Genomic DNA, 12,433 nt, shown 5'->3' on the forward strand with positions numbered 1-12,433 from the left:
CCCCGAAGTAATGCCCCTTGCCAGGCCCCTCATCTGTTTCTGAGCCACACTCGACTCTGGCTGCCCAGACAACATCCAGGCCTTTCCCCGTAGGCAGCGCTGCCAGGAGGCAGCAGTGAAGGTCCCCTTGGCTCTCTGGCCCCAGCCTCCCTCCCTGTTCCACCTTCTGCAGTTCGAGGCACTCGCTTTGGCCTCAGGACACACCTGCCTTGCTCCCTCTGCAGGCCATAACATCCCCTTCCTCTGACCTCTTCTAAAATCTCCTCTCTCACGTGGTTCCTTCATACTATGGCCCACTGGACTACTGAGCCTAATCATCCAAAAATTGAAACCCCTTTTCTTCAAGGGTGGGAAGGCTTACACATCAAACCTTCTAGTACTGCAAGAAAAAAGGAAGAAGAGGCCGGGCGCGGTGGCTCACGCCTGTAATCCCAACACTTTGGGAGGCCGAGGTGGGCAGATCACCAGAGGTCAGGAGTTCGAGAGCAGCTGGCCAACATGGTGAAACCCCGTCTCTACTAAAAATACAAAAAATTAGCCAGGCACAGTGGCACACACCTGTAATCCCAGCTACTCAGGAGGCTGAGGCACGAGAATTGCTTGAACCTGGGAGGTGGAGGTTGGAGGTTGCAGTGAGCCGAGATCAAGCCAGTGCATTCCAGCCTGGGCAACAGAGTGAGACTCCATCTCAAAAAAAAAATGAAAAAGAAAAAAGGAAGAGGAGAAGAGAAGAAAAACATAAAACACTGCCATGTTAAAATGTACATTATCACTCCAGATGCCAGAAATATCCTCATTCTGGTGTCCCAGGGGTCACGAAATTGGAACCACAGAGAAAGCAATGCAGTGGAAGCATTGCGCTGGGCCCTGTGGGGAAACACACCTACACAGCCACAATCATGCAAATGCTGTTTATTGATTTTCAGATTGTAGAATCAACCTATGGACAAAGCACAGAAGATTTAGTTTTGCTTACAGAGCAGAAGGTAGATGTTAACAACAAGGAAGATGGAAAAGTAAAGTACATCAGAACTTTAGGGATACAGTTAGCGCTGGGGGAACCCCTGCTGGGTGGAGACAAGCTCTGGGGCAGAAGAGAAGCCCAGGAAGCCCTTGGCAGTTGACTACGTGGCCCTGGGCTGGATACTTCGTCGCCCCCCTGCCCCACCCCACACACCTGGGTGGTGCTAGAGGATGTCGCTGGCGTGATAGCCCCTCCTCGTACCCGTCCTTTAGGGAGGACGAAGAGGAGGGAGAGAGTTGGAAGGGGAAGGTCCCAACGCTGCCATGCTCATCAGACACAGAAGGAGGTCACCAGACTGAGGCAGGCGGTGGAGCTTGGACACCAGACTAACTTGAAGATGAGCTAAAACAGGGGCGAGTGGAAGCGGCTTTCCCTAAGGCATGACCCCCAGGGTGCCATGTCAGTTTACCATTGCCGTGGCAACACCCTGGCATACTGCCCTGTTCCGTGGCAAAGACCCCAGGACCCAGAAGTTACTACTCCTTCCCTAGAAATCTTTGTATATGCAGCTCCTTAATCTACATGTAATTAAAAGTGGGTATAAATCTGACTGCAGAACTGCCCTGAGCTGCTGCTCGCTGCCTATGGGGTAGCCCTGCTCTGCAGGGCAGTCACAGAGCTGCAACACTGCAGCTTCAATACAGCTGTTTTGGTTTTGGTTTTGTTTGTTTTTCTTTTGTTTTTTGTTGTTGTTTTTGTTTTGTTTTGTTTTTTGAGATGAAGTTTTACTCTTGTTGACCAGGCTGGAGTGCAATGACGTGATCTTGGCTCACTGCAACCTCCGCCTCCCAGGTTCAATCAATTCTCCTGCCTCAGCCTCCCAAGTAGCTGGGATTATAGGCGCCCGCCACCACGCCCAGCTAGTTTTTTTGTATTTTTAGTAGAGATGAGGTTTCACCATGTTGGCCAGGCTGGTCTGGAACTCCTGACCTCAGGTGATCCACCCGCCTCGGCCTCCCAAAGTGCTGGGATTATAGGCGTGAGCCACCGTGCCCGACCACAGCTGTTTTCTTCTACCCTACCACTGGCGCTTGCCTTTGAAATCTTTCCTGGGGGAGGCCAAGAACCCTCTCAGGCTAAGCTCCAGTGTCGGGGCTTGCCCACCCTACATCAAGACCCACTAAAGTCAGTGGGATTCTAGAGAGCTCTAAGTGTCCTGCGTAAAGTTACAAAAATCACCGAGATGACCCCCAAATGTAACTATCCAAAATGGGGAGACAGGGAGGGGTATCAGGCATGAGAAAGGATCAGAGCATCAAATCCTCATTTGTCATTGACATGGGGTAAAATCTAGAAACTGATTTAAACAGATTACTTGGAAATAGAGAAAACTACCAGAAGAATTAAAAACAGGGTCAATTAAAACCATGGCACGGAAGGAATGAGAGGGGTAGAGGAGAAAACTACTTTTATTCATAAGCTCTTCTGTACCCTTGGGATTGTTTTTTTTTTTTTTTTTACCATGGGTGTGTCTGACTTTGATTTCAAAAATTAATTTTAAATTTTAAAAAGTGACACCACGATCCTGGTCAATCGAACCAGAAGTGACCAGGCCACTTGCTCCCTGCCTGGGTGGCTGTGGGCCTCAGGGGGCTCAGTGCTGCAGCGAGTGCCCTGGGGACGGGGGTGGCTCTGTGGCTGGCTCTGCAGGGGGCCCTGCGGACAGCTCTGCAGATGGTGCTGTGGGTGGCTCTGCAGGTGGCTCTGTGGATGACTGTGCGGGTGGCTCTGTGGGTGGCTCTGCGGGAGGCTGCGTGGCACCCTGGCTCAGCATGTTCCGGCAGCGCAGCCGCTCCTCCTCCTGCTTCTCCGCCATGCGGTTCTCCAGCAGCCTCAGCTCCCTGCGCACCGCCTTCTGCATGGACGGCTCCAGCTCCAGCACTTTCTGGAGGTCCGCCTTGGCCTCGGCCTCATTCCACACCTCTGCGTGAGCCCGGGCACGCACGTAGTAGGCCTTCACGATGCCTGTGGGGAGCAGGGAGCATCCAGCTACAGCTCCCTTCCCAGCCTCAGAGGCAGCCCCAGCCCAGCTGGGACTCACCAGCCTCCAAGACCCTCAGCCCCGCCATGATCCTTAACCTCTCTGTATCCCCCATCCCTCGGTTTCCTCAACTGTAAGATGGAGATGATGATCATAATAGCAGTACCTCCTCCTCTCCTTTTTAAGGCCCTGTGAGTAATTTTATATTCATAACTTTGTTTTATTTTTCTTATAGACGCTACCTAAATTAGATAACCTTCAGGCCCTTTCCCTGCACCTCCCTCATATGGTGATTATGAGGATTATGAGGATTAAATGAGATAATAAACGCAGACGACGTGTGCCTGATGCATGAGCCAGGGGCTGGATGTTTTTACTGTGAGCACGATTCGAGCATTAAGTCAATACTAGTACTGACGGTGCCATATCCTCGCAACACCAGTACTAGTACCGACATCATAATATTTTTCCCTATATTGATTGCCCCTCTTTTTTAAACGCCTGTTTACCGTTCCGCTGAAATCACAAGCTTGGCGAGCTTCCTGGGTAAGTGTTCAAACACACATTAAAATAAAGGGCCGCCCCGCGCCAAGCACTGCCCATCCATCACCCACAATTCAGTTACACACTCGGGGAAACCCGGCTGGGTGGAGACAAGGTTTGGTGCCCTGGTGGGGTGGAAAGAAAAGTCCAGGAAGGCTATGGCAGGTGTCTCCGTGGCCCTGGGCTGGGCGCCCCCTCACTGTCCGCCCCTGCAGCCCCGCGCACCTGGGTGGTGCCGGAGAATATCACTGGTGTGCTCCAGCACCTCATAGTACTCCTCCTTCTTCAGCAGGCACTGGCAGTAGTTGAGGATCAGAGTATTGATCATCTTCTCCAGCTTCAGCCACTGCACCTCCCATGGCTTCTCCTGCCCAGGGAGAAGGTCAGCCATGACCTCAGGCAGCTGCCCAACCCCCGCCCCACCCTGGCCGGCACTGGGCAGGCCCCCCAGAGTCAGCGCCACTTCCCACCCCTGGCCAGCGGCCTCTGACCTTGGTCTGCAGGTTCCTTAGGCAGATGATGGCCTCCTGGTACTTGGAAGAGGCCTCCTCGTAGCGGCCCAGCTTGAAGAGCCGATTTCCCTCTCCGTGGAGGACGGGCACCGCCTTCATCTTCTCATGATTGCTCAGGTTCCAGGTCTCCCTCTGGTAATCACTCGGGGCATCAACCTGGCCCCAGAGCTGCAGGTCAGTGAGGCAGGGACCCCAGGGGCCTGCACCCCATCAGAGACCCGAAAAACAGGACCCTGTGGCACATCTCCCTGAAGTCATGCTTGCTGGTCAAGTGCATACAGACAAGGGAAAGAAGCAACAACGCCGAAAACCCTGCCCTAAATCAATGTCTTTGTGCAAACTAGGAAAAGGTGCCCGTTCATCAAGACACTTCACTTCTAATATTCAGAAAATTGTCACGAATACTCGTTTTGTTAGAACAATACACTATTGCCATCTGCTGGAAACTTCTCATTATGGAAATACCAATATACAATGTCTATAATGAGCACCTTGGAGGAGATGCCGGTGCACCTTGTGCAGTGCACAGACCACACAACTGTGACAGCAAGCCTGTAAGGGCCCTTGGTTGACACAGTTCTTATTTTATTTTTATTCACCCACATAGCTCTCAGGCTGAGCCTCAGTCTTGGCCATAAGCTGAGTCCTGACCTGACCTTGACCCTGGCCCTAACCCTCTCTCACCAATCCACAAACACGCGCTGCCAATCACTCTGGGGCTCTGGTTGGGAGGATGTGGGGAGTTCCATGCAGCCTCTCCCGCCACTAGAGAACCAAGTCTGAACCCACAAACCACAGGAACCAAGGAGGCGGTTATAATCTCCAACTCCTGAAAATGAAAGTGGAAGTGGATAAAATGCCTCCACAATGAAAATGAATCACATTTTTAAAAACTGGTTCCAAGTGGACTTTTTTTTTTTTTCTTTTTTTTGGACATGGAGTCTCACTCTGTCACCCAGGTTAAAATGCACTGACATGATCTCTGCTCACTGCAACCTCCACTTCCCAGGTTCAAGCAATTCTCATGCCTCAAATTCCCAAGTAGCTGGGATTGATTACAGGCATGCACCACCACACCCGGTTAATTTTTGTGTTTTTAATAGAGACGGGGTTTTACCATGTTGGCCAGGCTGGTCTCGAACTCCTGACCTCAGGTGATCCAACCCCCTCGGCCTCCCAAAGTGCTAGGATTACAGGCGTGGGCCACCATGCCCAGCACCAAAGGACTTTTCTTGTGGAAAAATCAGAGGACTTTTTTTTCAAATTCGTATTCTCCCATGGCTTATGAACCCTCTCGTATTATCTAAACAGAAACAGGGCACTGTCCAGTGGCCAGTGGGGTGGGGGTGCCCATGATGCCCGCTGTCCCTCTCCAGTGCTGGCACAGCCCTCCAGCCCTGCCAACCCCAGCCCCACCTGCAGCAGCTCGATCACAAAGACCAGAGGCTGAGGCTCCTTCTGCAGCTCGTCCAGGTCCTCGTAGCCCAGCGTGTGGTAGGCGAACATGTTGGCCAGCCCGCACGTGTGCACGTGCCACTCTGTGGGGTCCTTGCCCTGGGCCATCTGCCTCAGGCTCCGGGATAGGATGGGGTAGACCCCCGTGTGCTGTGGGGATAAACGGATGGATGGCATCCAGGCTACCTGCCCAGAGCTAGGTGGGCCATAAAAGGCCTCCACTCAGAGCCCCTCCTGGGAGGAATCCTGCTCCCTCACTATGCCACTCATACTAACTGTGGTTAACTGTGTGCCAGGCAAAGCACTTCACACTGTTATGAGCCCCTTCAATCCTTATGACAATTCAAGGCAGGCACTATTATCCCCATTTTACGGATGGGGAAACTACAGCCCAGAGACGCAAAGCAACTTGCTTAAGGTCACACAGCTAGGAAATGACGCAGCCAGGATTCAAACCTGGCTCCAGAGGCCATATGCTGTTAGCCTCCGGCTGCCTCTTCTGGCCCTTGTGGTCCACTGTAACACATCTCTGCCCCAGGGAAACCCTGACCTCTGCAAAGCCTATGACTCGCAGGAAGGGCAGTGTGGGGCAGTAGAAGGAGCAGGACTCCAGGGTCCAAGAGAGTCGCTTTGGTGTCCTGGCAGTGCTGCAGGTTAGCGGTGAGCCCAGGTCTCTGCACTTCTCTGAAACTCAGTTCCCTGGGTTGCTCCTGTTCGATATTAGGGCTGCTGTAGGGATTAAATGAGATGGTGCAGATATAGATCTGGCTCATCACAGCTTCAGCCAGCATGGGAGCTGAGTTTGCCACCCTTGGGATGAAGGAGGGCTGGGAAGATCCGCCGTGCGGCCTCAGCGAGGCCTGCTGTATGTATGCTGGGCCTCAGTTTCCCCAACTAGGCTCCCTGAGAACCCATCTCCTTGGACCGGCTTCTGAGATGACCCAGCACTGGCCCCACATGCAACATGTGAAGTGAAGGGGCTGAAACTCTATGCAGCAGTTCAGCTCTGCCTCCAGGTCACCAGCACAGAGACAGAGGTCACCCTGCCCGCCCCACCGGCCGGGATTAGCCCGAAATGCCTTCTGCCTCTTTATGGAAGAGACAAGCAGATGGCTGTTGAGCCTGTTGGGATTAGAGCTGGACCAAGGGAGGGAGAGGCCCCAGAACCAGCTTACTGCAGGGAGGGGCCACCTTTGGCCCTGACTCAGCAGCCCCCAGCTCGGCACCCCATGGCTCCCAGCAAGCTGAGCGTGCTTTTGTGGCCCCAAAGCACACTGCCCTCACTTATTTATGTCCTGGCACTGGCTGCCCTGCATTACAATTGTTTAGGTGTCTGCTCCTCCTGCAGAATTCAAGTTCCCTAAGGGCTAGGGGCTTTGCCTGTTTCACTCCTAACATACAGCACAGGCCAAATCAGGTGCCCAGTGAATGTTTTCTAACTAGATAGGTAGGTAGGTAGGTAGGTAGGTAGATAGATAGATAGATAGATAGATAGATAGATAGATAGATAGATAATAGATACACGAATGATAGGAGATAGATAGAAGATGATGGATGCATGCATAGTGACGGAAGACTGGATTATGAATGAAGATTGGTTGAAGGGAAGAATGGATGAAATGATGCCCGGGCAGGTGGGTAGATGGATAAGAGGTGGATGTGCAGGTGAAGAACTAACTCTAGAAGGGGTGTGTGTGTGTGTGTGTGTGTGTGTGTGTGTGTGTGTGTGTGCATGCGTACATGCACACAATCACGGCAGCCATGGGCTGGGGTGAGGAGATGTGCGGGGCATGGAGATTAGGAAAACCCATAGTTACCATGGGGAGCAGTGGCTCATGCCTGTAATCCCGGCACTTTGGGAGGTCAAGGCCAGTGGCTCACCTGAGGTCAGGAGTTCCAGACCAGCCTGGCCAACATGTTGAAATCCCATCTCTACTAAAAATACAAAAATTGGCCCGGTGTGGTGGTGAGCACCTATAATTCCAGCTACTCAGGAGGCTGAGGCAGGAGAATCGCTTGAACCCGGGAGGCAGAGGTTGCAGTGAGCCAATCCCACACCATTGCACTCCAGCCTGGGCAACAAGAGCGAAAGTCCGTCTCAAAAAAAAAAAAAAAAAAAAAAAACAGTTACCAGCCTGTGATATGGGCAATGCACTCATGTGACTATCAACATGGAAAAAGGAACACAGACTCCACAGGAAACAAAGAGCCATGCCCACATTATGGGAATGACAACAGCTTGTGGTTTTGCAAACAACAAATCAATCAACTAATCAAGAATTTATTGACAGCCTTCTATGCACTCAGCTGTCATGTGTTAGCAAACGTGTATCTTATGGAGAGGGGGCTCTTAGTGGCAGCCTTGCCTCACAAATGGCATGAATTAAAGTACAGGAGCCCCTCACTCTAAGCAAAGTCAATAGATATATTTTTAAACTAACTGAAATCACAAAGAAGCCAATTTTTGAAGGCTTGACTTGATAAAAAATAAAACAGATTTTAAGATAAAAACATCAGAATGAAGAAAAACACAGGGACTGCTACAAAGGAAAGATGTTCAACATATATTTGCTACATGAATGAATAAATGGATAACATGTTGAGTGGGATCACCTACTGGCAGAGGATGGCACTGCAGCCCAGCTCTATTAGACACTGCAAGAAATGTGTGTAGGATGAAGAGGGAACCAGGCATCTCACCCAGATCTTTTCCCTTAACTTGTCTGAGCCATTGCAAGTTATTTTCCCTTTTGGAGTCTTAAGTTTCCCATCAGTAAAGTGAAGAAGTTAATCTCAAATTTTTTCTAGGCTGGACATGGTGGCTCACGCCTGTAATCCCAACACTTTGGGAGGCCGAGGCAGGCAGATCACTTGAGGTCAAGAGTTCGAGACCAGCTTGGTCCAACATGATGAAAACCTGTCTCTACTAAAAATACTGAAAAAAAAAAAAAAGCCAGGTGTGGTGGCAGGCACCTGTAATCCCCAGCTACTCAGGAGGCTGAAGCAGGAGAATCATTTGAACCTGGGAGGCAGAGGTTCCGGTGAGCCAAGATCGTGCCAGTACACTCCAGCCTGGATGACAGAGTGAAACTCCATCTCAGAAAAAAAAAAAAATTCTAGCTCAAAATAATAGCTCTCATTTTTAATTGCCCTGTATTATGATCCACCCTCATATGTTATATCATGTAATCTCCAAAACAACCCCTTAACTTAGAGTTTTGTTTATTTATAAATGAAGGAATAGAGTAGCAGACAGAAGACGGGACTACCCCAGGTCACACAACTAATGAAAGACAGAACAGAGTTCAAATTGTCCCCAAAATGCTCATTTAAAAGGTCAGTGGCCTCTGATGAAATAATGAGTCTGGGTATCTGCCACCAATGGTGAAAGTCTAGGGGGAGCTTTGGAATGGATGGATCAGGCTGTCAACACCTAAACCCACCAATCACTCTTAACATCACTGTAAAAGAGACAACCAAGTGTGATGTACGTCTCCCAAAGGGAAGTATATGGTACATCCATGGCAGACTTTTGAAAAAGAGAGAAAGAGAGAGAGAAGAATCTGAATCTTATCAGGCCCTCTAGACCCCACTTTCAATTTATCAAAAATGTGGGGAATAGAGGAGCATGTTAGACAATTCCATGGCGAAGGAACCAGGAAAATCAGAATGTGGGACTTCTACAGGATAAATGACCCAGTTCCTTCAACACTTCCATGTCAAGGAAGAAAAGAAGAAAAGAAGGAGGCCGAGCGTGGTGGCTCAGGCCTGTAATCCCAGCACTTTAGGAGGCAGAGGCGGGCGGATCACAAGGTCAAGAGATCAAGACCATTCTGATCAACATGGTGAAACCCTGTCTGTACTAAAATACAAAAAATTACCCAGGCGTGGTGGCGGGCACCTGTAGTCGTGGGAGGCTGAGGCAGGAGAATCACTTGAACCCGGGAGGCCAAGGTTGCAGTGAGCCAAGATCACGCTACTGCACTCCAGCCTGGCTACAGAGCAAGACTCCGTCTCAAAAAAAAAAAGAAAGAAAGAAAAGAAGGAAGTAGACCTATAGATAAAAAGGCACTTGAGAGACGCATCAACAAAGCGCTATGCAGAGACTTTGTTTGTTCGGTTGTTGATTTAAACAAACCAAACTCATTCATTTATAAAGAATAAAAGGAGTCAACCAAAGAAAATTCAACAGTGACTGGATATTAGACGGCTTTAAGGAATTACTGGAGTTTTTAAAAGATTTCATAATGGTACAATGGTAAAGTTTCTTTAATATCCTCTTTTTTTTTTTTTAAGATGGAGTCTCACTCTGTCGCCAGACTGGAGTTCAGTGGCATGATCTTAGCTCACTGCAACCTCTGCCTCCCGGGTTCAAGTGATTCTCCTGCCTCAGCCTCCTGAGTAGCTGGGATTACAGGCATGTGCCACCACGCCCAGCTAATTTTTGTATTTTTGGTAGAGACGGGGTTTCACCATGTTGGTCAGGCTGGTCTCCAACTCCTGACCTCGTGATCTGCCCGCCTCAGTCTCCCAAAGTGCTGGGATATCCTCATATTTTAGAGATACAAATTTTAGTATTTACAGATGAAATGATATGGTGTCTGGCATTTGGTTTAACCACGCAGGACAAGGAAGGGAAGTGGGTGGGTTGGGAGATGAAGCAAGACCAGCCGCGGGTTGATGGTGGCCGGCACTGGGTGACAGGTACTCGTAAGTTCATTATTCTTTCTGCTGACTTTTGTATATGTTTGAAAGTTCCCATAAGAAACGTTGCCTAAAGGTCAGTGAGTTTTGCCATAAGGCAAGGAAGCTAACTTATAGGAGTAATTTACGGAGTGCCATAAATAGGAGGGCAAACTTGCAATGTGAGGAGGAGGGCAAAAAAGTGACCAGTGCTGCTCTAATCATGCTGTATAAAATCTCCAGATCTAATCATGCTGTATAAAAAGCAAGGACTTAGCCGGGCAAGATGGCTCATGCCTATAATTCCAGCACTCTGGGAGGCCGAGACAGGAGGATTGCTTAAGCCCAAGAGTTTAGGACTAGCCTGGCCAACGTGGCAAAACTCTGTCTCTACAAAAAATACAAAAATGAGGTGTGGTGGTGCACCTGTAGTCCCAACTACTTGGAAGGCTGAAGTGGGAGGATCACCTGAGCCCGGGAAGTTGAGGCTGCAGTGAGCCATAATTACGCTACTGCACTCCAGCCTGGGTGACAGAGCGAGACCCTATCTCTCTCTCTCTCTCTCTCTCTCTCACACACACACACACACACACACACACACACACACACACACACAGATGTGAGGACTGTGAAGTGGGCCAGCTCACTCCTGCTGGTCATAGCCCTGCTCCCCACCAGCCAGCCACAGCATGGGTCACCCCTTCCAGCCCTTGTTCCCTCCATCTTCACATGCACAGCGGTGGGGAATAAGTTTGCAGGACTGGCTTTGCAAAGCTTCGCTTGAGTCCCAGCTTTCCCGAAACACAGCAGCCCCGCAAAGCGGGTGGGTGAGCCCAGAAAAGACTAGTCCCAGGAGACAGGCGCGCAGGGCCTACTTACGATGGTGTCGCACCAGAACTCGGCCACCTCGTGCACCCGCATGGAGGTAAGCAGGATCTCCCAGACCTCGAGCTTGAACATGTTTCCGATGATGATGTGCATGGGCTGGCCCACCTGCCGACTGTCGTCAATGACTGTCCGCTCCTCATCACATTTCATGGTGCGGAAATGAAAGATCACCTAGTCACCGAGACGGTGCACTCTGCTCTAGACACACTGTTCAAGGCCCGGCAGAAGCCACCCCCTTGCCACCGACACCCAGGGCTGTCCCCAGGGTCAGCTCACTCAGTTCACCCCATCAGATGCCTCAGACCCCTGGAGCACCTCCACCCTGCCTGCACCCCCCAGGGAGGAGGGACCCACCCCTCCCTACAGACCCCATTCCACTCCCCACAGCCCTGTGCGTCCAGAAATCCTTCCTCAAGTAAGCCCGAGTTCTTTTTTTTTTTTTTTTTTCTGAGACAGAGTCTCACTCTGTTGCCCAGGTTGGAGTGCAGTGGTATGATCTCGGCTCACTGCAACCTCCACCTCCTGGGCTCAAGTGATTCTCCTGCCTCAGTCTCCTGAGTATCTGAACTGGGATTACAGGCGCCCAGCACATCTGGCTAATTTTTGTATTTTCAGTAGAGATGGGGTTTCACATGTTGGTCAGGCTGGTCTCGAACTCTTGACCTCATGATCTGCCCATCTTGGCCTCCCAAAGTGCTGGGATTACAGGCGGGAGCCGCCTCGCCTGGCCAAAGCCCGAATTCTGTAGCCACAGACGCACCCTTCAGTCCAGGGAAGCCTAACAGACATTTGGGGACAAATACCAAGACTCCTCGGACTCCCTTTCTTCTCACTCAACATTTAGGGCCCCAGAAAATTCCCAAAAGCCCTTCCCCTCAGCCCATGCTAAAGTTGAATCTGCAAAGTACCAAAAATGCCCCCTGAATGGGTAAACGCTGGGAGCTCCCCGGAGGCCCAGCGCTGGGGCTGCCTGGCTGTTTTTTTGGCACAGCTGAAAGCTGTTTACAGTGCCTTGGGGCACACCTGGAATGTTGAAAGCTGCTGTGGGGGACCCTGTCTGCTCCGGAGGGGCCCCACTCACTCGGGATCCGGTGATGAAGTTTGGGAGCTCGCCCGTGCCCCCGTGCAGAATGGTTTTCTTGACCCCTTCCACGTTCAGGAGCAGAGCGGCATCCATGGCTGCAGGAGAAAGGGAGGTGTCCAGCACAGGCGGAGATAATCTCACCTCCGGGGAAGACACTTAGGCGGCTGAGACTCTGGGATTTACCCAGCCAGGAGGAGTGGGGGGAAGGGCAGACGGTGGGGGCGGTGACCTAGGCGCCCCGGCTTCTCATCAGAGCCACTCGG

At 50.9% G+C, this 12,433-nt stretch overlaps 1 protein-coding gene across 8 annotated transcripts; it reads right to left on the reverse strand.

The window, feature by feature from the left end:
- On the reverse strand, positions 897 to 12,280 carry AIPL1 (AIP like 1 HSP90 co-chaperone). 8 transcript variants are annotated; one of them, NM_001285400.3, is made up of 6 exons: positions 12,168 to 12,280; positions 11,078 to 11,191; positions 5,477 to 5,665; positions 4,040 to 4,216; positions 3,774 to 3,915; positions 897 to 2,989 (listed from the first exon to the last, which is right to left on the reverse strand). In NM_001285400.3, exons 1-6 carry the CDS (start codon positions 12,261 to 12,263, stop codon positions 2,619 to 2,621), a joined length of 1,089 nt encoding a protein of 362 aa, NP_001272329.1. In that variant the 5' UTR covers positions 12,264 to 12,280; the 3' UTR covers positions 897 to 2,618. The 8 variants fall into 8 exon arrangements, with proteins under 8 accessions (NP_001272329.1, NP_001272328.1, NP_001272330.1 ...); NM_001285399.3 differs by having other exon boundaries at positions 11,078 to 11,221; NM_001285401.3 differs by having other exon boundaries at positions 3,774 to 3,843; positions 11,078 to 11,257.

The sequence above is a fragment of the Homo sapiens genome, chromosome 17 (genome assembly GCF_000001405.40).
Source record: "Homo sapiens chromosome 17, GRCh38.p14 Primary Assembly".
Lineage (NCBI taxonomy): Eukaryota > Metazoa > Chordata > Mammalia > Primates > Hominidae > Homo > Homo sapiens.

What these genes read in the sequence shown, in the direction of transcription:
- AIPL1 (NM_014336.5), bottom strand. Translation starts at nt 12,263, where the DNA reads ATGGATGCCGCTCTGCTCCTGAACGTGGAAGGGGTCAAGAAAACCATT. An exon ending in TTGTGATCGAGCTGCTGCAG is followed by an intron (nt 4,217 to 5,476) that starts GTGGGGCTGGGG and finishes CTCTGGGGCCAG; the next exon opens with GTTGATGCCCCGAGTGATTA. An exon ending in TAAGGAACCTGCAGACCAAG is followed by an intron (nt 3,916 to 4,039) that starts GTCAGAGGCCGC and finishes CTCCCTGGGCAG; the next exon opens with GAGAAGCCATGGGAGGTGCA.